Raw genomic sequence first — 22,608 nt, forward strand, 5'->3', positions numbered from 1 at the left:
GCTTGGCAGATGAAGAGATTGGAAGTGAACCACTGAGATGACTGATGAGCGTCCTCAGCAGGCTGTGTTGCAGGGGGAAGAGTGCAGGTTGTTTATAAGGCCTGGGTCGTGCCCCTGGCCACCATTTCCTGGCTTTGTGACTCCAGCTTTACTTCTCCTTCCCAGGGCTCAGTTTTCCTCTCCTTGAAGGGGATGAGTGGAACCAGCTCTGGACGCTGAGCTGCCTGGGTGTAAAGGCTTCCTGTAATGGGCAGAAGAGTGGATAGGAGGGCAGCAGGGGAGCTGGACCAAAAGCATCATGTGATTTGCCGTGATCACAGAGGATTTTCTGGAAGTAGCTTGGGCACAATGTGTGCAAGGAGACAGAAGGGTCTCGTGGTGGGGAATAGGACATTCACACAGCCTCCTCCATGGCTTACCTCACACAGCAGTTGTTAATTAGCCAAGAATTTGACAAACAGGCATTAAAGGCCTTCTGAATGTGACACACGACACCCAGCTAGAAGAATATTGCCAAAAATCATTAAAACTACTCTAATCATAGTCTGAGTCAGACACATCCAGGTGGTGGAAGACTTTACAAAAAAAAAAGAAGTGAACCATTGCTTTCAATGACATTAAAGAAAATGAAAGGCAGGTGGGGAGCACTCCTAGATTAAAGGGGAGTCCAGAGATGAGATGTAAACCAAAAGGTATCTGAGACAGGTCTCCATCAACTTAGAAGCTTATTTTGCCAAGGTTAAGGACATAGAAAAAACCATGCAATCATAGAAACAGTCTGTGGTCTGTGCCTTTTTCCAAAGATAATTTTGAGGACTTCAATATTTAGGGTGGAAAAGCTGGCTGGCGGTGAAAGAAGGAGGGTGTGGTCGCATTACTGAATCCACATGGTGTAAGAGAAAGCAGGAGGTAGGGGAATAATCAATCACGTATTCATCTCACGCTCAGTAAATTGGCACCTTGAGAAAGATAAGGTGAATATGGCCGGGCGTGGTGGCTCACACCTGTAATCCCAGCACTTTGAAAGGCTGAGGTGGGAGGATCTCATGAGCCCAGGAACTTGAGACCAGCATGGACAACATGGCAAAACCCATCTCTACAAAAAAAACCACAAAAATTAGCTGGGCGCGGTGGTGGGTGCCTGTAGTCCCAGCTACACGGGAGGCTGAGGTGACAGAATGACTTGAGCCCGGGAGACAGAGGTCGCAGTGAGCCAAGATCGTGCCACTGCGCCCCAGCTTGGGAGACAAAGTATGATACTCTCTCAAAAAAAAATAAATAAGTAAAAATTTTTTTAAAGAAAGATAAGATGAACATAGAGTAGCTACCTACGGAGATACTTAACCTTTTCTCTGTAGCTGTCTGCTTAGGAACAAAAGGAAAGGCAGTTTCTTGCATGACTCAGCTTCCAGTTTTTTTTTTTTCCTTCTGTCACAGTGAATTGGGGTCCTGAGTTTTTGTTTCTCTTTCATAAAGACAACGCAGTGCAGTTCATGCTTGACCCCGGATGTTCTCCTGATCAGAAAGCAAAAACGCAATGAGAGATGTCATTGGGACAACAGAGGAAAACTGGAAATGGGCTTCCTATTAGACAACAGTGCATCTGTGTAAACTACACGGGTCTGATCCTGGTCTGTGGTTACGCAGGACAAAGTCCTTAAGAATAATCTATATAGGCTGGGCGTGGTGGCTCACACCTGTAATCCTAGCACTTTGGGAGGCCGAGGCAGGTGGATCACCTGAGGTCAAGAGCTCAGGACCAGCCTGGTCAACATGGTGAAACCCTGTCTCTACTATAAATACAAAAATTAGCCGGACGTGGTGGCAGGCGCCTGTAATCCCAGCTACTCGGGAGGCTGGGACAGGAGAATTGCTTGAACCTGGAGGGCGGAGGTTGCAGTGAGCAGAGATCACGACACTTCACTCCAGCTTGGGTGAGAGAGCAAAACTGCATCTAAAAAAAAAGAGAGAGAGAGGAAAAAAAAGAATGATATATGCTTTTTAAAAATTTTTTTATTTATTTATTTTTTGTGATGGAGCCTGGCTCTGTCACCCAGGCTGGAGTGCAGTGGTGTGATCTCGGCTCACTGCTGCAACCTCCACCACCAGCTTCAAGTGATTCTCCTGCCTCAGCCTCCCAAGTAGCTGGGATTACAGTTGTGTGTCACCATGTCCAGCTAATTTTTATATTTTTAGTAGAGATGGGGTTTCACCATGTTGGCCAGGCTGGTCTTGAACTCCTGACTTAAAGTGATCCTTCCAAAGTGCTGGGATTACAGGTGTGAGTCACTGTGCCCAGCCCCCTTAAGAATAATCTTAAGAAGGTTCTTGCTGAAGCACTTAGTGGTGAGAGTTACAATGTCTACTCCTTGTTTTTAAAATTTAAGAATATTTTAAAAGCATATGTTGTGTGTGTATAAACAGATACAATAAAATGTGAAGAGTGGGTGAATCCAGTGAAGGGGATACTTGTGTTCACTGTACTATCCTTGCAACTTTTCTGCCGGTTTGAAATTTTTCCGTCTTTTTTTTTGAGATGGAGTCTTACTCTGTTGCCCAGGCTGGAGTGCAGTGGTGCGATCTCGGCTCACTGCAACCTCTGCCTCTTGGGTTCAAGCGATTCTCCTGTCTCAGTCTCCGGAGTAGCTGGGACTACAGGTGGCTGCCACTACACCGGGCTAATTTTTGTATTTTTTTTTTAAGTAGAGATGGGGTTTCACCGTGTTGTCCAGGTTGGTTTCAATCTCCTGACTTCAATAGATCCACCCGCCTTGGCTTCCCAAAGTGCTAGGATGACTGGTATGAGTCACCGCTCCCAGCCTGAAATTTTTCAAAATGAAAACACCGCAGGTCAGGAGTTTGAGACCAGCCTGAACAACATAGTGAAACCCTGTCTCTATTGAAAATACAAAAATTAACCAGACATGGTGGTGTGCACCTGTAGTCCCAGTTACTCGGGAGGCTGAGGTGGGAGAGTTGCTTGAGTCCAGGAGATGGAGGCTGTAGTGACCTGCAGTGAGCTACAACTGCACCACTGTACTCCAGCATAGGTGAGAGCAAGACTCTGTTTCTAAAAAAAAAAAAAAATTACTGGGCATGTACTGTATGCCATGTAGGTGGTGGAGACATAGCAGGAGATCAGACAAACACTTCCCTGTCTGTGTGGCAAATATTAAACTTGCAATAAACTTGCAAAGACAAATAAAGATAAAATTTATAGAGATGTCAAAAATAAACATATAATTGCAAGTCACATTCATTTCTCTTTCTCTGCTATTCCTGCTCTCGCCTTCCCTCTTCTGCTTCTCCTCTCTCCGTCACAGACACCCACAACGTCCCTCTGCAGTCACTGACAGATACCCCAGGTTCCTTCCTGTCTTCCTCCCCGCCACCCCAGTGTGTTACAGCTGATTTGTACAGCCCTGGACAAGCCCATGGTTAAATAGCTAGGGATTTCATCAGCCTGGTTGGCAAACTGTAGGTAGCTTAAAATCAGACATGCTATGAGTATTTACACCAGAGAAATAGGCCAACACTACGAGGCAGGATTTGTGGGTATTGTTTTTCAGAAAACTTGGTTTTTCAGCACAACACTGCTCTCCCATCGGCTTCCAGCAAATAAATGTTGCATTTTTCAGATATATCCTAATTCTTTCATAGATATTCAGTCTCTACTCCACCTCTGGCCAAGCCTTTCCTGGTGGTAGGAAACTGGGGACTTGAGTCCTATGTTGTACTGTGAGGGTAGAGAATAGAAGAGAAAGCATGAGAGAAAAGCATGAAAAGAAGAATCAAAAGAAAGCAATATAAGAAGGAAAGAGAAAGAACAGAGAAGTGGGAAGACAGTGGAGGGTAGAAACTAGGACCGGAAGACATGGGGACAAGCTGATGCCCACTGCACAACGTCCTCACAGGTAGTTGGGCCATTTCCCCATCTGGGGTACAGAGGTGGCCAGGGAGCCCATGAGAAATGAGGAAACTGCCTTCCCAAACTACTGGAGAAAGAGGGTGGGGGTGGTGATCCACATAGCTGGGCTCAGGAGGAAAGAGGGCTGGGAGTCTGGACCGGGGGAACCTCGGGTCAAGATGCCACAGTTTCTAACTATGGAGGGCCTGGGGGCCTGGACTCCTGGGTCTGAGGGAGGAGGGCCTGGGGGTCTGGACTCCTGGGTCGGAGGGAGGAGGGCCTCGGGGCCTGGACTCCTGGGTCTGAGAGAGGGAGGCCTGGGGCCTGGACTCCTGGGTCTGAGGGAGGAGGGGCTGGGGGGCTGGACTCCTGGGTCTGAGGGAGGAGGCACTGGGGGCCTGGACTCCTGGGTCTGAGGGAGGAGGGACTGGGGGCCTGGACTCCTGGGTCTGAGGGCGGAGGGGCTGGGGGTCTGGACTCCTGGGTCTGAAGGAGGAGGGGCTGAGGGGCTGGGGGTCCTGGACCCTCCATCTGAGGGAGGAGGGGCTGGATGCCTGGACCCGAAGGTCTGAGGAAGAAAGGGGGTCCCTGATAGGCCACTGCGGCCATTGAGACTTGGGGTGGGGCCCAAGCCTCCATTTTGCAAGGCCCTCCCCTCCCCACCCTTTTCTGGGCTGGCTGCTTAAGGGCTGGTATAAAGGACTTGTTTCCTGCTGAAAAAGCAGAAAGAGATTACCAGCCACAGACGGGTCATGAGCGCGGTATTACTGCTGGCCCTCCTGGGGTTCATCCTCCCACTGCCAGGTGAGTGATGAGCCCAGCCTGGAGGAGATTCCCTGGAGGCCGGGCAAGGGAACCCTGCTGAGATGGATTTGCTCTTGCCACTCCAGGAGTGCAGGCGCTGCTCTGCCAGTTTGGGACAGTTCAGCATGTGTGGAAGGTGTCCGACCTGCCCCGGCAATGGACCCCTAAGAACACCAGCTGCGACAGCGGCTTGGGGTGCCAGGACACGTTGATGCTCATTGAGAGCGGTGAGAAGGCCCTGGCGTGCAGAGACCCCGCCCTGTCCCCTCAGTCCCTTGATCCCTGTGCAGGGACCCGGGAGCCACCCCTCCGGGGGATCGACTCCTAGGGTCCCGGTGATCCCCTTTCCAGCCTCTCAGCCTACGCCGTGTAGCAGCGTCTCCCTCCAGGACCCTGGAGGCCTGACCTCCATCCTCGCTTGCCTCCCTCTTTCGGTCCAGGACCCCAAGTGAGCCTGGTGCTCTCCAAGGGCTGCACGGAGGCCAAGGACCAGGAGCCCCGCGTCACTGAGCACCGGATGGGCCCCGGCCTCTCCCTGATCTCCTACACCTTCGTGTGCCGCCAGGAGGACTTCTGCAACAACCTCGTTAACTCCCTCCCGCTTTGGGCCCCACAGCCCCCAGCAGGTGCCTGCGGGAGGGTCGGGAGGAGAGGGAGGGGCTGCTAGAAGGGGATCCGCTGAGCACAGAGGGGCTGTTACGGAGTCCCTCCCACCCTCGCTCGCTATCCCGACCCTCGCTGGCTCCATCCCTCCCCTGACTGCTCCCTGACCATCGCCCCGCCCCGCTCCCTTTCCATCCCTCCCCACTCACTCCCGATCCCTCCCACCGACCTGCCACCCGGGAATCCCCGCACCCCTCCTCTTCTAAGAGCAAACAGGACGGATTTCTGATATGAAATCACCATTAACTGGGTTATCCTGCATTCTTTTTTTATTCTGTTGCGTTTGGTTCAAGAAGTTCTCCTGCAGGGTTTTTGCTATTTCCTCTTCCTAAGGGAGACTGAACTGTAACTTTCCACTTTCCTTGTCTGGTGTTATAAAGAGTCTAGGGAGATATTTTGCGCTTCTTTTATTGGAACAGCTTGTGAACACAGAAGTCTCCTGTTCTTGGAGGTTTAGTAGCGCTTGCAGGTGAAGGCACTGGCTCGTTCCAGGGCACCCCCTCATTCCCTTGACCAATGAGTCTGCTTCTGTGTCTCCCCTCGGAAGGCCAGACTTTGTTGAAAGGTTCAGACTTGACCATGTCTGAGTCTACATTTGGCCTCAGCAGGCCCCTCCTCCACCCTGCCCACCCCCCACCCCCACTTGCCACCCAAGACACCCCCCCTTTTCTTTTCTTTTTTTTTTTTTTTTTTTTTTTTTCTGAGAAAGCGTCTCGCTGTGTCGACCAGGCTGGAGTGCAGTGGCGCAATCTCGGCTCACTGCAACCTCCGACTCCCGGGTTCAAGCGATTCTCCTGCGTCAGCCTCCCACGTAGCAGGGACTAGAGGAGCCTGCCACCACGCCCGGCTAATTTTTGTATTTTTAGTAGAGACAGGGTTTCACTATGTTGCCCAGGCTGGTCTTGAACTCCTGACCTCGTGATCCACCTGCCTCAGCCTCCCAAAGTGCTGGGATTACAGGTGTGAGTCACCACACCCAGCCAAGACCACTTTCTGTACCCAGCCCTGGGTGCCTCTACCCAGACCTCCTGTTCATTCTCCCTTCCTCTTTTATGGATTACACTTCTTTATTTTCCCACATCCAGATCCCATGATGGGAGCTGCAGAAGGCCCCTTTGGGAAGGCTGAGCAGGTTGACTCTTGAGGCCAGCAAAAGTGGGGTGCAGAGAAGGTATCTGATCAAATCCAGTGCCCTCTCAGTGCCCCCTCACTCTGTCTGTCACTTTCCTAGACCCAGGATCCTTGAGGTGCCCAGTCTGCTTGTCTATGGAAGGCTGTCTGGAGGGGACAACAGAAGAGATCTGCCCCAAGGGGACCACACACTGTTATGATGGCCTCCTCAGGCTCAGGGGAGGTAAGCCTGGGACATCGGGGTCCCTGTGGGGACTGAACTGGAAGGTCTGGGGACTGAGATCTTAGGCTTTGGGGAGTGAGGTGAGCTGAGGCACGGCATGAGACCCAGAGGAGGGTGGGCCTGGCTTCCTGGAGCTATGCCTGCCTCTGAGGGTTGGGTGGTCCTGGAGGCAGCATCACTGACTCTCCCTCGCTCCCCCTTTCTGCAGGAGGCATCTTCTCCAATCTGAGAGTCCAGGGATGCATGCCCCAGCCAGTTTGCAACCTGCTCAATGGGACACAGGAAATTGGGCCCGTGGGTATGACTGAGAACTGCGATATGAAAGGTGAGTCCTGCCCCTAGGCTGTGCCCTGGACTGCAGCCTCGGGGCACGATGACACATGGGGCATCCAGAGCCATCACACCAAAGCCAGCAGGAGGAAGGTCAAGGGTGCAGGGTGGGTTGCTTGGCATGTGGCTTTAGGCAACAGTGAGTGCTGGGGCCCCTGCTGGCTCTCAAGCTGCTGAGAGTGACTGGTTGCTTCAATTTCTGTGTCTCCACACCCCTGGCCTTGGGTAACCCTAGGTCTCCCACTTCCCTAGGCCACCGTAGCCTCTCTCCCACCCGTATCAGCCCCCGCCCCGCTCATGGTGCTGGAGTGCCCCAGCAGCCTTGCCTGCACAGGAGAGAACATCAGAGAGAAAATCAAGGGGACTTTGGGTGTGACAGAGAAAGCAAGAGTTAAAGGAGGACACTGAGAGGGTCCCCACTTACCCATTTAGGTGCTGCCATGGAAGAGAGTGCCAGGGAATGTCTCCATAAGAAGGGCTCCAAAGCAACAGGAAGCCATGGTGGGGAGGTGGGGGTCTTATAGGAATCCCAGCTTCCCTCCTAGAAGCAAAGTCTTCCCTGCCCCTGCCTCAGTTTCCTTGTCTGCCCACATCACGCTAACCCTTAGAGCTTAGAAGAGAGAGTTGTGTGAGCTCTGCACACATTCCTCTGTGTATTTGGCTGTTTCTCCCTAGCTAGGCTGGGAGCCTGAGGCTAGGGGCTTGGTACCACTGGCACCAGGGTTTCCAGCCTTGGGTAGCTCAGGAGACGGCTCAGGAAGGGTACCAGGAGGTGTTTGCTCAAGTGAGGACATGCAGGGCTCACTTGAGCAAAGCTCCCTCATGAGTCAGACCCTGTTTCTACCTGAAGGGCCTCCAGGACTAGGAGGGGGAGGTGCTACAGACACAGATGGTCACAGCTTGAGGTGATCAGGGCTGTGGCAAACGGGGATGTGGGGCCTGGGGCAGCTCAGAGGAGGAAAATACTGATGTTGTTGGGGTAGAGAGTCAAGGAGGGCTTTACAGAGGAGGTGGCCTGTGAACCGTGTGTTAAAGATGACCTACAGCTTATTGGTAGAAGAGGAAGAGGACATTGGTGGCAGAGGGAACAGTGTGTAGCAGCTGCATAGGCCTGGAGGTGGGAGTGAGCCTGCTGTTTTCAAGAAGAGTCCCTCACTCCACCTGAGAAGGACTCATCAAGATGAGGGGGTACAGCTGGGATTGGGGGTGATTCGAAGTTTTCCAGGTGGACAAGGTGGGTGTGGGGTCGAAGAGGGAGCTGCTCCAAGCCAAAGGCACAGCAGGTGTGAGGCTGAGGAGGAAATGAACTGGCATGCCTTCAGAATGGATACTGGTGGGGGAGGAAGAGTTAAGTGGGGAACCTGGTGGTCGCTCAAGTACCTGAAAACCCAGGCTGAGGGGTGGACCCTCTCCTGAAGGCAGGGGAGCCATGGAAGATTGTGGAGCAGGGAGGGCAGGGTCTGAGCCATTTATCTTTCCTTTTGACTGATGCTGCTGTTAAGGATCTGGCCCTGGTCTCTGGGACCAGATGACACTGATAACCCAGAAGGTATTTCAGAAACAAATCAGACGCAACACATGCCACACACACAGCCCACAATAAGCACAGCAGACACGAATGCGTCACACCATGACACATACACACCACACATCACATACCACACACACACTCCCCCATACCCCTGACATACCACCTATGGAACACAAATCACACACAGAGCACACAATATGCACAACACACACAAATGCATCACACGAGTGCACAATTACTACGTGTACATGTAGTGTGTATGCCACATACTACACGTCAGGTACCACACACACTCTCCCTCTCAACATATCAGACATGCAATACATACCACACACAACACACAATACACACAACACATCTGGCATGCCACACACACCACATGCAAGCAAAACACAGATACACAGAACACACACCACACCAAACACACAAAACAAACACATACCACATATATCACACACAGTATGTCTACACATGCACGCACCACACAAACATACCATGAACACACCACACACCCCATACAACCACACCCCCCACATGTATACTACGCACTCACACACAGCACACATACCTGCACACATCACGCATGTGCACACACTACACAAACGCACCACATAAAACACAGCGACTATGCACCAATCAGTGCTGTTCATAGAGATTCATCTGCTTTCAACACTGGAGCCAGATCTTGCAGGCTGTTTTGCCTCCCTGGTGAAGTGCAGTTCAGCAGTTTAGCAGACAGTGAGCATCACAAGACCAGGCATCAGAAACTGGGGGAACAACAAGACGTTGGGGACCAAGTGCAGGAGAGAAGAGGCTTCAGGGTGATGGAACCGCTTATAAGAAGCCGCAGCAGTGGGAGGGCTGGGTGCAAGGATGCAGGTTACTAAAAGGGGCCATGGCAGCAGCCCCTTGTGAAGAACCAAGGGGCCCGGGCAGATAAGGCCCTGGCTGCCCCTAGAGGAGCTGGGCAGCGGTCCCAGTGAGAGAGCAGGGAAGAGCCCACGTCTGAATCAGGGACACGTGGGTCCCAGGCCCAGCTCTGCCGCCGAAACAGCTTTCCAGCCTCAGCTTCACACGAGGATCAAAAGTCTCCATATCTCATGGAGCCTCTTTCCCTGGATTTGGGGAAGAGGAGGGGATGGTTGCAGACATGGGACGGAAGCAGATGCAAAGACCATGATGTGGGTGAGTGCCTGCCAGAAACACCTGTGCGGAGCAGAGTGATGGAGGGAGCAGGGAGGCGGCCGCGTCTTATCAGGCCTCCCGGGCCATTGGAAGGGCTTAGAATTTTATTCTCCAGAATGGGGACCTCCTGGAGTCTTCGGAGCAGAGGAGTGACATGAACTGACTTAGGTTTACCTAGCCTCCCTCTGCCTGCTGGGTGGAGAATGGAGCGAGAGGAACAGTGACAGGCGGGTGCAGGGATTGCCCCAGGAGTCAGGTGGGAGTGAAGCGGGGGGCTTGGAGGCAGCAGAGGTGGTGACGTGGGGTTGGGTTTTGAAGATTTTCTGCAGCTCAAGCCAGTAGGATTACTTGAGGAACACAATGTGGGAGAGAAAGAGCGTGGTCAAGGACAACACCAATGTGTTCAGCTAGACTGGCAGAAACGAGCCGCCACGGGTGTAAGTAGGGGAGATGGGAGTGGGGAGAGAAGGGTGGGAGAAGGGAGCAGGAGCCATGATTTTGATTTTGTCATCTGTGAAGTATGCAAATGAGCAGCCCTCCAGGGTGGCATCGGTTCTGCAGGTCGCATGTGTTGGTGGAAGCTGGGGGCTCAGTCTAAGAGTCCCTGCATCATGGGACCGATCCCCCCTGCTCTGTGATGGCCGTGAGGGGAGGCCAGGGGCTGTGGTTTCACACTAGAGCCTTGAGGGCCTCGGGGCCAAGGTAGCCGAGGATGGTCTTCAGTACCTGTCTCCCTCCTGCTCCCAACCCCGACCCTGAGGGTCCAGAGTCCCTGGGTTCCCAGCCTACCTCTGCCACTCACAAGCTGTGTGGCATGGGCAGCTACTGAGCAATCCTGCCTCTGTTTCCCTTGTTGCAAATGAGGGTGTTGATTGTGATCACACCACCTACTGCTGGGGTGCTGTGGGGAAATGAGGCATCCCAGATAAGCTGTGTTCCCTGGAACCTTAGATGGGTGGATCTGTGGGAAGCAATGAGGTCAGCCAGGTGCAGAGGCAGTGCTCAGCGGCAGTGCTCAGCCCACCCTGGCCCTTCGCATCTTGTTTGGAACATAGGGCTTTGCAACTGAAAGGTATGAGAAAGGTCTCAGGCTGCCTTCCTTATTATTGAAATGAGGACCTTAAAGCTCAGATGGGGAAGCAGAGATGGGATGAGGATAAGGAAGAGCTTCCATTGCTCTCACAGCTAAAGCAAGGAACGGCCGTTCCCCCAGGGCTGTGAGAGGACGTCCCTGCGGGTGTTCAAGCAGAAACAGGGAACAATGGGGGTGGGATTTCGACTCCCAAGTCCCTTCTGAATCCTTGGTTAAGGGAATCTGTGGCCAGGTCACCTGGAGTGTGACTCAAGAGTGTGATCACCTTCCCTAGCCCAGGACGTGGAGGGACAGACATGGTGGGTTCCTGGCTTACACACACCCTGGGATTCCTCTCCCCAGATTTTCTGACCTGTCATCGGGGGACCACCATTATGACACACGGAAACTTGGCTCAAGAACCCACTGATTGGACCACATCGAATACCGAGATGTGCGAGGTGGGGCAGGTGTGTCAGGAGACGCTGCTGCTCCTAGATGTAGGTACGTGGACTGAGGTAGAAGACGAACACCTGTCCCAAGTCCCTGGCAGCTCCCTCCACCCCACTGGATTCTTTCCCCTGAATTTCCTGCTCAGCTCCCTTCACATCTGCAATTTTCAATCCGACTCTTCTTCTCTCTGCATCTTGGGTTCCCCTTATGAAAACTGGGGGTGAAGCAGTGGGAATGACAGTGTCTGCCTTTCTGGGGAGGGGTGACCACGTATGCGGTAATCCCTGCCCAGGGTGGAGAACCGTGCCAACACCGAGGACTCTCAGTGGCTTCATACATTCTGGAAATGTTTATCCAGCATTTGTTTTAGGTGCCGCAGATCCAATCCCATCTGTATTCCTGCAGCTTTATATGCCTTGAGAAACAGGAAACAAACAAACAAAAAGCAGCAAAGTATGGGGAATGGAGATCCCAGCTCTGCAGAGAAATCTGGCAAGGAAAAGGAGATAGGAAAAGTGAGGGGAAGGCTGCAATTTTAAGCTCAGTGCTCAGGGGAGACTCATGGAGAAGGTGACCTTTGAGCGAGAACTGGGAGGAGGCAGAGCTTCGGGCAGGACCCAGGCCCCAGCCTCCGTCTTTGCCCCACACTAAACATGACCCAGCAGTTGTGATCAGGGCATTCACCCTCTGCCTGGGGGGTATTGTGAAGGGCAGGGAGTCCAGCTCTGGAGCCCCTGCTGCCCTGGGAGCTGCCCAGTCCCCAGCCCAGCTTTCCCTCTCACCCTCAGGACTCACATCAACCCTGGTGGGGACAAAAGGCTGCAGCACTGTTGGGGCTCAAAATTCCCAGAAGACCACCATCCACTCAGCCCCTCCTGGGGTGCTTGTGGCCTCCTATACCCACTTCTGCTCCTCGGACCTGTGCAATAGTGCCAGCAGCAGCAGCGTTCTGCTGAACTCCCTCCCTCCTCAAGGTATGGGATCCAGGGCCGTGGAGAAATGAGGCCCAGACACACAGAGACTCTGGCCCAAGGTGGCCAGCTGCTCTGAGCACAAAGTCATGTACCCCCACCTTCCCTCTGCTCCCCAGCTGCCCCTGTCCCAGGAGACCGGCAGTGTCCTACCTGTGTGCAGCCCCTTGGAACCTGTTCAAGTGGCTCCCCCCGAATGACCTGCCCCAGGGGCGCCACTCATTGTTATGATGGGTACATTCATCTCTCAGGAGGTGAGTGCTGCAAGCAGGGCCCCAAGGATGAAGGCACTGGTGGCCTGGACTCCTGGGTCTGAGGGAGGAGGGGCTGGGGGCCTGGACTCCTGGTCCGAGGGAGGAGGCGCTGGGGGCCTGGACTCCTGGTCCGAGGGAGGAGGGGCTGGGGGCCTGGACTCCTGGTCTGAGGGAGGAGGCGCTGGGGGCCTGGGCTCCTGGTCCCAGGGAGGAGGGGCTGGGTGCCTGGACTCCTGGTCTGAGGGAGGAGGGGCTGGGGGCCGGGGCTCCTGGGTCTGAGGAGCTGAGGCTCTGGACTCCTGGGTCTGAGGTAGGAGGGACTGGGGGCCTGGACTCCTGGGTCTGAGGGAGGAGGGGCTGGGGGCCTGGACCCCTGGGTCTGAGGAGCTGGAGCTGGGGGTCTGGGCTCCTCGGTCTGAGGGAGGAGGGTCTGGGGCCTGGACTCCTGGGTTTACAACTTGGCTGGGCTGTACTCTGTGTCCTTTCTGACTTGGTCTTCTCCCTCTAGGTGGGCTGTCCACCAAAATGAGCATTCAGGGCTGCGTGGCCCAACCTTCCAGCTTCTTGTTGAACCACACCAGACAAATCGGGATCTTCTCTGCGCGTGAGAAGCGTGATGTGCAGCCTCCTGCCTCTCAGCATGAGGGAGGTGGGGCTGAGGGCCTGGAGTCTCTCACTTGGGGGGTGGGGCTGGCACTGGCCCCAGCGCTGTGGTGGGGAGTGGTTTGCCCTTCCTGCTAACTCTATTACCCCCACGATTCTTCACCGCTGCTGACCACCCACACTCAACCTCCCTCTGACCTCATAACCTAATGGCCTTGGACACCAGATTCTTTCCCATTCTGTCCATGAATCATCTTCCCCACACACAATCATTCATATCTACTCACCTAACAGCAACACTGGGGAGAGCCTGGAGCATCCGGACTTGCCCTATGGGAGAGGGGACGCTGGAGGAGTGGCTGCATGTATCTGATAATACAGACCCTGTCCTTTCTCCCAGTGCTGGGATTTCTCCATGTGAGGGGGCAGCAGGACACCCAGGGATCTAGCGTGGGGGAGGAGAGGAGCCTAATGAGAAAATGACCATCTAAAGCCTGCCCTTCATTGGTCTGGTTCACGTCTCCAAACCAGCTTGGATGGTAGCAGAGACTTCAGGGTGCTCCAGCCAAACGTATTTGGGCATCACCATGACCTGGGAGGGGAAGATGCACTGAGACGTATGAGGCTTCCAGCCTAGCAGCCAGGGCCCTAGCACAAACAGGAGGCTCGCCCCATCTGAGCAACTGCAGGAGAGGTTAGTACAGTCATGCATTGCTTAACGACAGGGACGTGTCGTTAGAAATGTGTCGTTAGGTGATTTTATGACCATAGGAACATTGTAGCGTGCACTTACACCAACCCAGATGGTACAGCCCAATACACACCCAGGATGGACGCTAGAGTCGACTGCTCCTAGGCTACAAGCCTGCAGTGCATGTTATGGTGTGAATACTGCAGGCAATCTTAACACCACGGCAAGTATTTGTGCATCTACACACATCTAAACATAGAAAAGGTACAGCATAAATACACTATTGTCATCTCAGCAGACCACCGTTCTATACGCAATTCGTCGCTGACCCAAACGTTGCTATGTAGCATCTGCGTATCGTGGGATAATTGACATGAGGGCTTGAGAGAACTCCAGAAAAAAATGGGTTAGCATTTTCCCAGAGCTGTTATCATTGGGTCTCTCTTACCACCATAGCCCAAAAAGGGTGAGGAGAAGAGCCACTGCTGGAATCTGCAGACAGAGAGAGAGAGAGAGAGAGAGACATAGACAGAAAGAGACAGAGAGAGCTGGAGAGAGAGCCGGAGACAGAAAGAGAGAGATATTCAGAGAGGGTTGCCTAACAAGAGCTCCCATCTCAGGCTGAAAAACGCGTCCAGCCCACAATGATACTGGGGAGGGAAGTGGGGAACTAAAATTCCAAACTGATGTCCTCACTCTGGTCTCCAGTTGAGGTTCCCCATTGACTGAACCCCCTAGAGGCCACAGAAGCAGGAGACTCCACTGGTCCAGCCCCCATAGATCTGCCATTCACACTACAGAACAGAGGAGAGGAGAGGGAAGAGGAGAAGAGAGCGAATCTGGAGAAGGAAACAGAACACGTCTAGTACCGTTCACTCCCTTGCCCCTCGGCATCCACCCTTTCCCTTTGTCCAAATGAAAATCAAAGTCCAGGACGGGCTCGGTGGCTCACGCCTATAATGCCAGCACTTTGGGAAGCCGAGGTGGGAGGATCACTTGAGCCCAGGAGTTTGAGACCAGCCTGGGCAACATAGTGAAACCGCTTCTCTACAAAAAAATACAAAAAATAAGCCGGGTGTGGTGGTGTGCGCCCCCTCCCTCTACTGGTCCCAGCTACTCAGAAGGCTGAGTCCAGGAGGTCAAGGCTGCAGTGAGCCAAGACTGCACCACTGCACTCCAGCCTGGGCGACAGAGCAAGACCCTGTCTCAAGGGGGAAAAATAAATCAGAGTCCTCCGTACAGATGACACACAATTCCAGTCCTTCCCTCTGTCACAGTAACAGTGTGTGATGGTGACAGTGATGTCCTCCTCCCATTGTGCTGGGCACCAGTTCTTCACCCACAATGAGAGAAAGATGGGGAGGAGATGGCTTCCAATACAGCTGCTGAGGTCCTGGGGGCGGGGCTGCTGGTGCTTAGAGCTGCTTTCTTCCAGTACATTCCACATTGTCTTCCCACTTCCAAAACCTCCTTTGGATGTTATTTGTTACCTGCAGTGTAACCCAAATCTTGATTCTTATGGAGAGTGAGTCTTGGATGGCCTTGTCTTTAGTGGGTTTCTGTAGTTTTCCATGGAACAGGGCCCTGGCCAAGGAAATGTTACCGCCATGAGTTGCCTGCCTTCGAAAATAGCCTCCTTGTCCCAGCCACCCGACCTCCCTCTGTAATCAGATGCCATTCCCCCGACTGCAGAGTGACGTCTCCTTTGCCTGCTGTTTTGGCAGCACAAGGGGCACAGGATGGCTGGAGGGCTGTCATGGCTTCCTGCAGATCAGAACTAGGAAGAGATTCCTCATCCACAGCAGCCCAGGGCCACGGGGACAAAGAGCAAGCATTCTCTCAGTGGGCTGGCAGGTGCAGTCACGGGAGGGAGCCGCGCTTATTCTTCCTGTCTTTCCTGGATCTTTGCATCTGGCCCTGGGGCGCGTGACCCGATAGCCTGGTTGCTGGTTTATAAGATGTGTGGCCCCTCCTGTGGGTGGTGGGGTACGGTCTCCCTCCCGGTGCCCTGATAAGCCACACATGAGCCATTGCGCCAATCTGAGAAGCAGCTGTGTCTGTATAGAGGGGCACCTGAGACGGTCAGTGGGTTCCATGGGTGTGAGTTAATTACCCCCCATTCTTTGCGTTAACACGTGTCCCCAGTGGAAGCAACCCTGCATGGGTTCCAGAGCCACAGGAAAGGCGCTGTTCACAGAAGCACTGAGCAGGGTCCAGGGAAGGCCAACTGGAACCCCCAGTGTGTGCGTATCCGTGTGAGGACAAAGCCCAGTCCCCTCCAGGATGGGACGTGTCCTGTGTGGCCAGCCTATCTGCAGTGGCCGGGTAGTCCTCCTGTAAAATGACGCCTTCCAGGGGCTTAGCCCCGGGCTCTGCCTACACTGGGCAGGGCTGGATACAGTGTGCAGCCAGGCCAGTGCTGGGAGACTCAGTCCACTTGTGGTAAGGTATGTCGCCGTCCTCCCTATCCATGTGGCCATCTGCACCTGGACCCCCTGAACAAGCTCTGAGGGACAGAGTCTGCCTGACACCATCCACCAAACACCAAGAACCTCATCCCCACAGCACAGGTTCTGGGCTTAAGGGTGGGGACGGCATAGCTCACACTTTGTGCCCATCCCCAGAGGAACATCCATGTGTCCTCCCTGTCTTAAGTTTACTCTTTTATTCTCTTCAAGTCCTTGACCATGTGGCCCGCTCTGGGTTCATGCAATGGACCCAAGTCCATCCCTCCTTGCAGAACCCCTGAGGTTCTGCCCATCTGAAGGATTTCCCTTCATCACTCCTCAGGACCACCTGAAGTGGGCACTAAGGCAGCCGCCGTCCACTTCTGCTGGGCGCCAGCTCACCGTGAGGACCCATCCATAAGCCTGGTCTGCACTTTCCTCCTCTGTATGAGGTCACAGGGCTTCCCAGGAGCTCACAGATGTGGTAGAGGGAGGGGCAGAAGGACAGGTGCCATGGGAGCCTGAGTCACTTGCTGGCCTCAGACCTGCTTGAGCCTGACCCCATGCTCAGCTGTCCCGTGGATGCTGGAGGCTGCTGTGCATGCCCCAGGTTATGGTTTGGTAGCTCAGAGAGCACCCGGCCCTGAACTTGATTGCACTTGGCCCAGGGATGAGCCAAGAGCTGCTTTCCGAATGGTCAGAGTTACCTGCAGGAGGAGGCGCGGAATTTCTCTAGAACCTCCAGCTCTGCACTGTTAATCTTTTGGAGCTTGTGAAAATCTCCATAAAATAATGCACTAGATTTGAAACATAGACTCTCTTACATTTTTTCGTTTCTAAATATACTCTAAATATACTCATCCAGGAGTTATCGAGAATAATATTTTGCAATTCCAACTGGAGTAATGTACTGGGAAGTGCTGTGGTTCATTTCTTTCTTTCTATTTTTTTTTTTTTTTTTGAGATGGAGTCTCGCTCTGTTACCCAGGCTGGAGTGCAGTGGCGTGATCTTTGCTCACTGCAACCTCCGCCTCCTAGCTTCAAGCGATTCTCCTGCGTCAGCCTCCCGAGTAGCTGGGATTACAGGCACCCGCCACCACGACCGGCAATTTTTTTGTATTTTTAGTAGAGATGGGGTTTTGTCATGTTGGCCAGGCTGGTCTCAAACTCCTGACCTCAGGTGATCTGCCTGCCTTGGCCTCCCAAAGTGCTGGGATTACTGGCGTGAGCCTGTGCTTCATTTCTTTTATAATTCTATTGTGGTTTAAATGGCCCGTTGCTTTCCTAATTTGTGGGTATTCCCTGTATCACCTATTGTTTACTTTCTACCTCTCTGATATTTACCGTATATGAATTTATCAATCCTGATTTTACTTCTTCAAAGCCAGTATGAGTTTAGTCAAGTCTGATTTCCCCGTACAGGATGAAAGGTTTTTGTGGGCGTCAAGCAAGAACATTGTAGGATGCTGAATAGGATCTGTATACATCTCAAGTTGTCTAGGAAGCAGGGACATTTGCTCCTTCTTATCTTGCTGGGATTTCTGTCACTAGCAGTTGGAAGGGACTCCAGTTTTAAGACAAAGGTTTACAATTTCTTTAGCACCAAGAAAAAAAGAAGCATAAAACTGGAGAGAAAAGGGTATAATATTATGTTCAGCAAGGAATATGGAAAATATAATCTTTTGAATCTTCTGAGTTAATTAATCTGTACTCTGAGATGGGCAGAAATGAGAACCACGTCCCCATCTCTGCAATAAATTCCCTAGGTTTGGATTTTAGCCAAGAAGTTTCTGCTTTCCTGGAGAATGTCTCTGAATTTAAACACCACACCTCAAAGCCAGAAAAGGGAAAGTTTACTTTGGGCTTTGATCCAAGTTTTCAGTGGCTGGAAACACGGTTACACTCCTGGAGACAAGGTGGCCTTGGACACCCAGGAAGAGCCCTGCTCCTGGGCACACCTGGCCCTGGAGCCAGACCACCTGGGTTTGAACCCCAGCTCCGCACCTTACCAGCAGAGCTTCCTCTCTGGAAAGTGGAGATGATCGTGATATCACTGACCTCAGACTGTGGTTGTCTCAATTAAATTAACAATCCATGTTATGAGTGTACAAGTATCGGGCACAGAGCATCGACTCAATTAATACTGATCTGTAATGAATGGGGATTCATGCCAAGTGCTGATGATGTGCATGACATTAGTGCTGACTGCTGTAAGTACTGGAAGCCGTCATGATAATGAACAGTGACTCTCATCACAGTTCATGGGGTCCTTTGTGAAACATGAGGGGGCATTAAGCAGAAACAGCCAGCCCAGCCCTCTCCACCACCCTTGAGGTGGTGTATCTATGCCTGGTTTACAGTGTGGAAACTGAGGCTCAGAGACGGGGACTGGATTGTGCACGGTCACCCAGTCACGAAGGCCAGGAAATGATGGATGGGATGCAGGCTGTGCGCTCAGCCACCTCCCCGTGGAGCAGTTCAGGGGCACTGGGCATCGGGTCGCCCTGAAGATGCTGCTCTTGTCTGTCTGCCTCTCTCTTTCCACCGCACTGGGTCTCTGTTTCTGGCTCTGTCTCCTCCTCACTGTGTGTCTTTGGCTCACTTTGTGTCTTTTCATCTCTGTGTCTCCCTGTCTCTCTCTGTCTTTGTCTCCCTCTCACTTGGTCCCTTCCTTCCTTTCTTCCTTCCTTCCTTCCTTCCTTCTTTCTTTCTTTCTTTCTTTCCTTTTTCTTTCTTATTATAACACCATTGATTTTTAATCAAGGATCCACAAGCTTGGGTCCTCTCTTGTCTCACCCTAGTCCTGCCCTGTGTCTCTCTACGGCACACCTTTTACTTCTCTGGCTCTGACTCTCTGAGTTCTCCCTCTGTCCATGCCTCTCCCCTCCCTCCATCTCTCTGTGTTAGTGTCTCTGTACCCTTTCCTCTCTGCCTCTCTCTGTATCTCCCCTCTCCACCCCCATATATCTCTGACTCTGTCTCTCTCTGGGTCTTTATCATTTTCTCTTTCTCTCTCCATCCCTGCCCCCATTCTCTCTCTGCCTTTCTCGATCTCTCTGTTTCTCACCCTCCTTCTGCCTTCCCCTAAGCCAGGGACTTCATGGCTCTGATGGCTGTCCAGCGGTGTTGCCCATTTTTATTGAAGTATCCTTCTGTCGACCCACTTGGAAAGACTTCCAAGATACACTGCACAGTGAGAAAAACAAGAAGCAGAACAGTGCACAGTGTGCCACCTCTGGCATTACAAAGGAGGAAATGTAAAATGAATTTATAAATGGCCAATAAGCAAATAAAATTTGGTCAACATCACTTATCATTAGGAAAATGGAAATCAAAACCACAGTGAGATACCACCTTACATCTGTTCTGATGGCAGTTCTGAAAAAAAAAAAAAAAAAAAAAACAAAGTGTTGGCGAGGAGAAATTGGAATGCTTGTGCAGTGTTTGTGGGTATATAATATGGCACAACCACTGTGGTCATTTCTCAAAAAATTAATCATAGACTTACCACACGATGCAGCAATTCTACTTCTGGTGTATTCTGAAAAGAACTGAGAGCAGGGGCCCCAGCAGGTATCTGCATGTCTTTGTTCATAGCAGCATTATTCACACTAGCCAAAGGTGTAAACAAGCCAAATGATATGGCTTTCCTCTGTCCGAACACAAATCTCACGTTCAGCTGTAATTCCCAAAGGTCGAAAATAGCCTCCTTGTCCCAGCCACCTGACCTCCCTCTGTAATGAGATGCCGTTCCCCCGACTGCAAGTGACTCAGGCTCCCATGGCACCTGTCCTCCTGCCCCTCCCTCTACCACATCTGTGAGCTCCTGGGAAGCCCTGTGACCTCATACAGAGGAGGAAAGTGCAGACCAGGCTTATGGATGGGTCCTCACGGTGAGCTGGCGCCCAGCAGAAGTGGACGGCGGCTGCCTTAGTGCCCACTTCAGGTGGTCCTGAGGAGTGATGAAGGGAAATCCTTCAGATGGGCAGAACCTCAGGGGTTCTGCAAGGAGGGATGGACTTGGGTCCATTGCATGAACCCAGAGCGGGCCACATGGTCAAGGACTTGAAGAGAATAAAAGAGTAAACTTAAGACAGGGAGGACACATGGATGTTCCTCTGGGGATGGGCACAAAGTGTGAGCTATGCCGTCCCCACCCTTAAGCCCAGAACCTGTGCTGTGGGGATGAGGTTCTTGGTGTTTGGTGGATGGTGTCAGGCAGACTCTGTCCCTCAGAGCTTGTTCAGGGGGTCCAGGTGCAGATGGCCACATGGATAGGGAGGACGGCGACGTACCTTACCACAAGTGGACTGAGTCTCCCAGCACTGGCCTGGCTGCACACTGTACCCAGCCCTGCCCAGTGTAGGCAGAGCCCGGGGCTAAGCCCCTGGAAGGCGTCATTTTACAGGAGGACTACCCGGCCACTGCAGATAGGCTGGCCACACAGGACACGTCCCATCCTGGAGGGGACTGGGCTTTGTCCTCACACGGATACGCACACACTGGGGGTTCCAGTTGGCCTTCCCTGGACCCTGCTCAGTGCTTCTGTGAACAGCGCCTTTCCTGTGGCTCTGGAACCCATGCAGGGTTGCTTCCACTGGGGACACGTGTTAACGCAAAGAATGGGGGGTAATTAACTCACACCCATGGAACCCACTGACCGTCTCAGGTGCCCCTCTATACAGACACAGCTGCTTCTCAGATTGGCGCAATGGCTCATGTGTGGCTTATCAGGGCACCGGGAGGGAGACCGTACCCCACCACCCACAGGAGGGGCCACACATCTTATAAACCAGCAACCAGGCTATCGGGTCACGCGCCCCAGGGCCAGATGCAAAGATCCAGGAAAGACAGGAAGAATAAGCGCGGCTCCCTCCCGTGACTGCACCTGCCAGCCCACTGAGAGAATGCTTGCTCTTTGTCCCCGTGGCCCTGGGCTGCTGTGGATGAGGAATCTCTTCCTAGTTCTGATCTGCAGGAAGCCATGACAGCCCTCCAGCCATCCTGTGCCCCTTGTGCTGCCAAAACAGCAGGCAAAGGAGACGTCACTCTGCAGTCGGGGGAATGGCATCTGATTACAGAGGGAGGTCGGGTGGCTGGGACAAGGAGGCTATTTTCGAAGGCAGGCAACTCATGGCGGTAACATTTCCTTGGCCAGGGCCCTGTTCCATGGAAAACTATAGAAACCCACTAAAGACAAGGCCATCCAAGACTCACTCTCCATAAGAATCAAGATTTGGGTTACACTGCAGGTAACAAATAACATCCAAAGGAGGTTTTGGAGGTGGGAGGACAATGTGGAATGTACTGGAAGAAAGCAGCTCTGAGCACCAGCAGCCCCGCCCCCAGGACCTCAGCAGCTGTATTGGAAGCCATCTCTTCCCCATCTTCCTCTCATTGTGGGCGAAGAACTGGTGCACAGCACAATGGGAGGAGGACATCACTGTCACCATCACACACTGTTACTGTGACAGAGGGAAGGACTGGAATTGTGTGTCGTCTGTACGGAGGACTCTGATTATTTTTTCCCCCTTGAGACAGGGTCTCGCTCTGTCCCCCAGGCTGGAGTGCAGTGGTGCAGTCTTGGCTCACTGCAGCCTTGACCTTCTGGACTCAGCCTTCTCAGTAGCTGGGACCACAGGCGTGCACCACCACACCCGGCTAATTTTTTGTTGTCTTAGTGGAGACTGGATTTCACGGTATTAGCCAGGATGGTCTCAATCTCCTGACCTCATGATCTGCCCGCCTCGGCCTCCCAAAGTACTGGGACTACAGACAGGCACGCACCACCACACCCGGCTAATTTTTTGTATTTTTTGTAGAGAAGCAGTTTCACTATGTTGCCCAGGCTGGTCTCAAACTCCTGGGCTCGAGTGATCCTCCCACCTCAGCTTCCCAAAGTGCTGGCATTACAGGCGTGAGCCACCGAGCCTGTCCTGGACTCTGATTTTCATCTGGACAAAGGGAAAGGGTGGATGCCGAGGGGCAAGGGAGTGAACGGTGCTAGACGTGTTCTGTTTCCTTCTCCAGATTCACTCTCTTCTCCTCTTCCCTTTCCTCTCCTCTGTTCTCTACTGTGAATGGCAGATCTATGGGGGCTGGACCAGTGGAGTCTCCTGCTTCTGTGGCCTCTAGGGGGTTCAGTCAATGGGGAACCTCAACTGGAGACCAGAGTGAGGACATCAGTTTGGAATTTTAGTTCCCCACTTCCCTCCCCAGTATCATTGCGGGCTGGACGCGTTTTTCAGCCTGAGATGGGAGCTCTTGTTAGGCAACCCTCTCTGAATATCTCTCTCTTTCTGTCTCCGGCTCTCTCTCCAGCTCTCTCTGTCTCTTTCTGTCT

General features: G+C 52.8%; 1 protein-coding gene and 1 long non-coding RNA gene across 4 annotated transcripts, besides 1 other annotated feature; both read left to right on the forward strand.

Moving 5' to 3' along the window:
- Window positions 1-493, forward strand: PRG1 (p53-responsive gene 1). Its single transcript, NR_026881.1, has one exon. It is a non-coding gene; the product is annotated as a p53-responsive gene 1 (long non-coding RNA).
- A 4,137-nt stretch (window positions 494-4,630) lies between these two features.
- On the forward strand, window positions 4,631-17,026 carry CD177 (CD177 molecule). 3 transcript variants are annotated; one of them, XM_017027021.3, is made up of 10 exons: window positions 4,631-4,711; window positions 4,798-4,938; window positions 5,152-5,337; window positions 6,606-6,728; window positions 6,937-7,053; window positions 11,210-11,350; window positions 12,088-12,273; window positions 12,390-12,524; window positions 13,033-13,173; window positions 16,609-17,026. In XM_017027021.3, exons 1-10 carry the CDS (start codon window positions 4,660-4,662, stop codon window positions 16,788-16,790), a joined length of 1,404 nt encoding a protein of 467 aa, XP_016882510.1. In that variant the 5' UTR covers window positions 4,631-4,659; the 3' UTR covers window positions 16,791-17,026. The 3 variants fall into 3 exon arrangements, with proteins under 3 accessions (XP_016882510.1, XP_016882511.1, NP_065139.2); XM_017027022.2 differs by lacking the exon at window positions 16,609-17,026 and adding an exon at window positions 14,527-14,753; NM_020406.4 differs by lacking the exon at window positions 16,609-17,026 and having other exon boundaries at window positions 13,033-14,117.
- Window positions 15,150-15,651: an enhancer, noted in NCBI's record as "H3K4me1 hESC enhancer chr19:43868357-43868858 (GRCh37/hg19 assembly coordinates)". NCBI's record gives its function as "activates a minimal SCP1, AML or CMV promoter by ChIP-STARR-seq in naive H9 embryonic stem cells {active_cell/tissue: H9 hESC(naive)}" and the evidence as "EXISTENCE:reporter gene assay evidence [ECO:0000049][PMID:30033119]".
- Window positions 17,027-22,608: the final 5,582 nt, after the last annotated feature.

Source organism: Homo sapiens, chromosome 19 (assembly GCF_000001405.40).
Source record: "Homo sapiens chromosome 19, GRCh38.p14 Primary Assembly".
Taxonomy (NCBI): Eukaryota; Metazoa; Chordata; class Mammalia; order Primates; family Hominidae; genus Homo; species Homo sapiens.

Coding starts and splice junctions, on each gene's coding strand:
- CD177 (XM_017027021.3), top strand. CDS start 4,660: ATGAGCGCGGTATTACTGCTGGCCCTCCTGGGGTTCATCCTCCCACTG. Junction 4,712..4,797: donor GTTCATCCTCCCACTGCCAG/GTGAGTGATGAG, acceptor TTGCCACTCCAG/GAGTGCAGGCGCTGCTCTGC. Junction 11,351..12,087: donor GCTGCTGCTCCTAGATGTAG/GTACGTGGACTG, acceptor TCTCACCCTCAG/GACTCACATCAACCCTGGTG.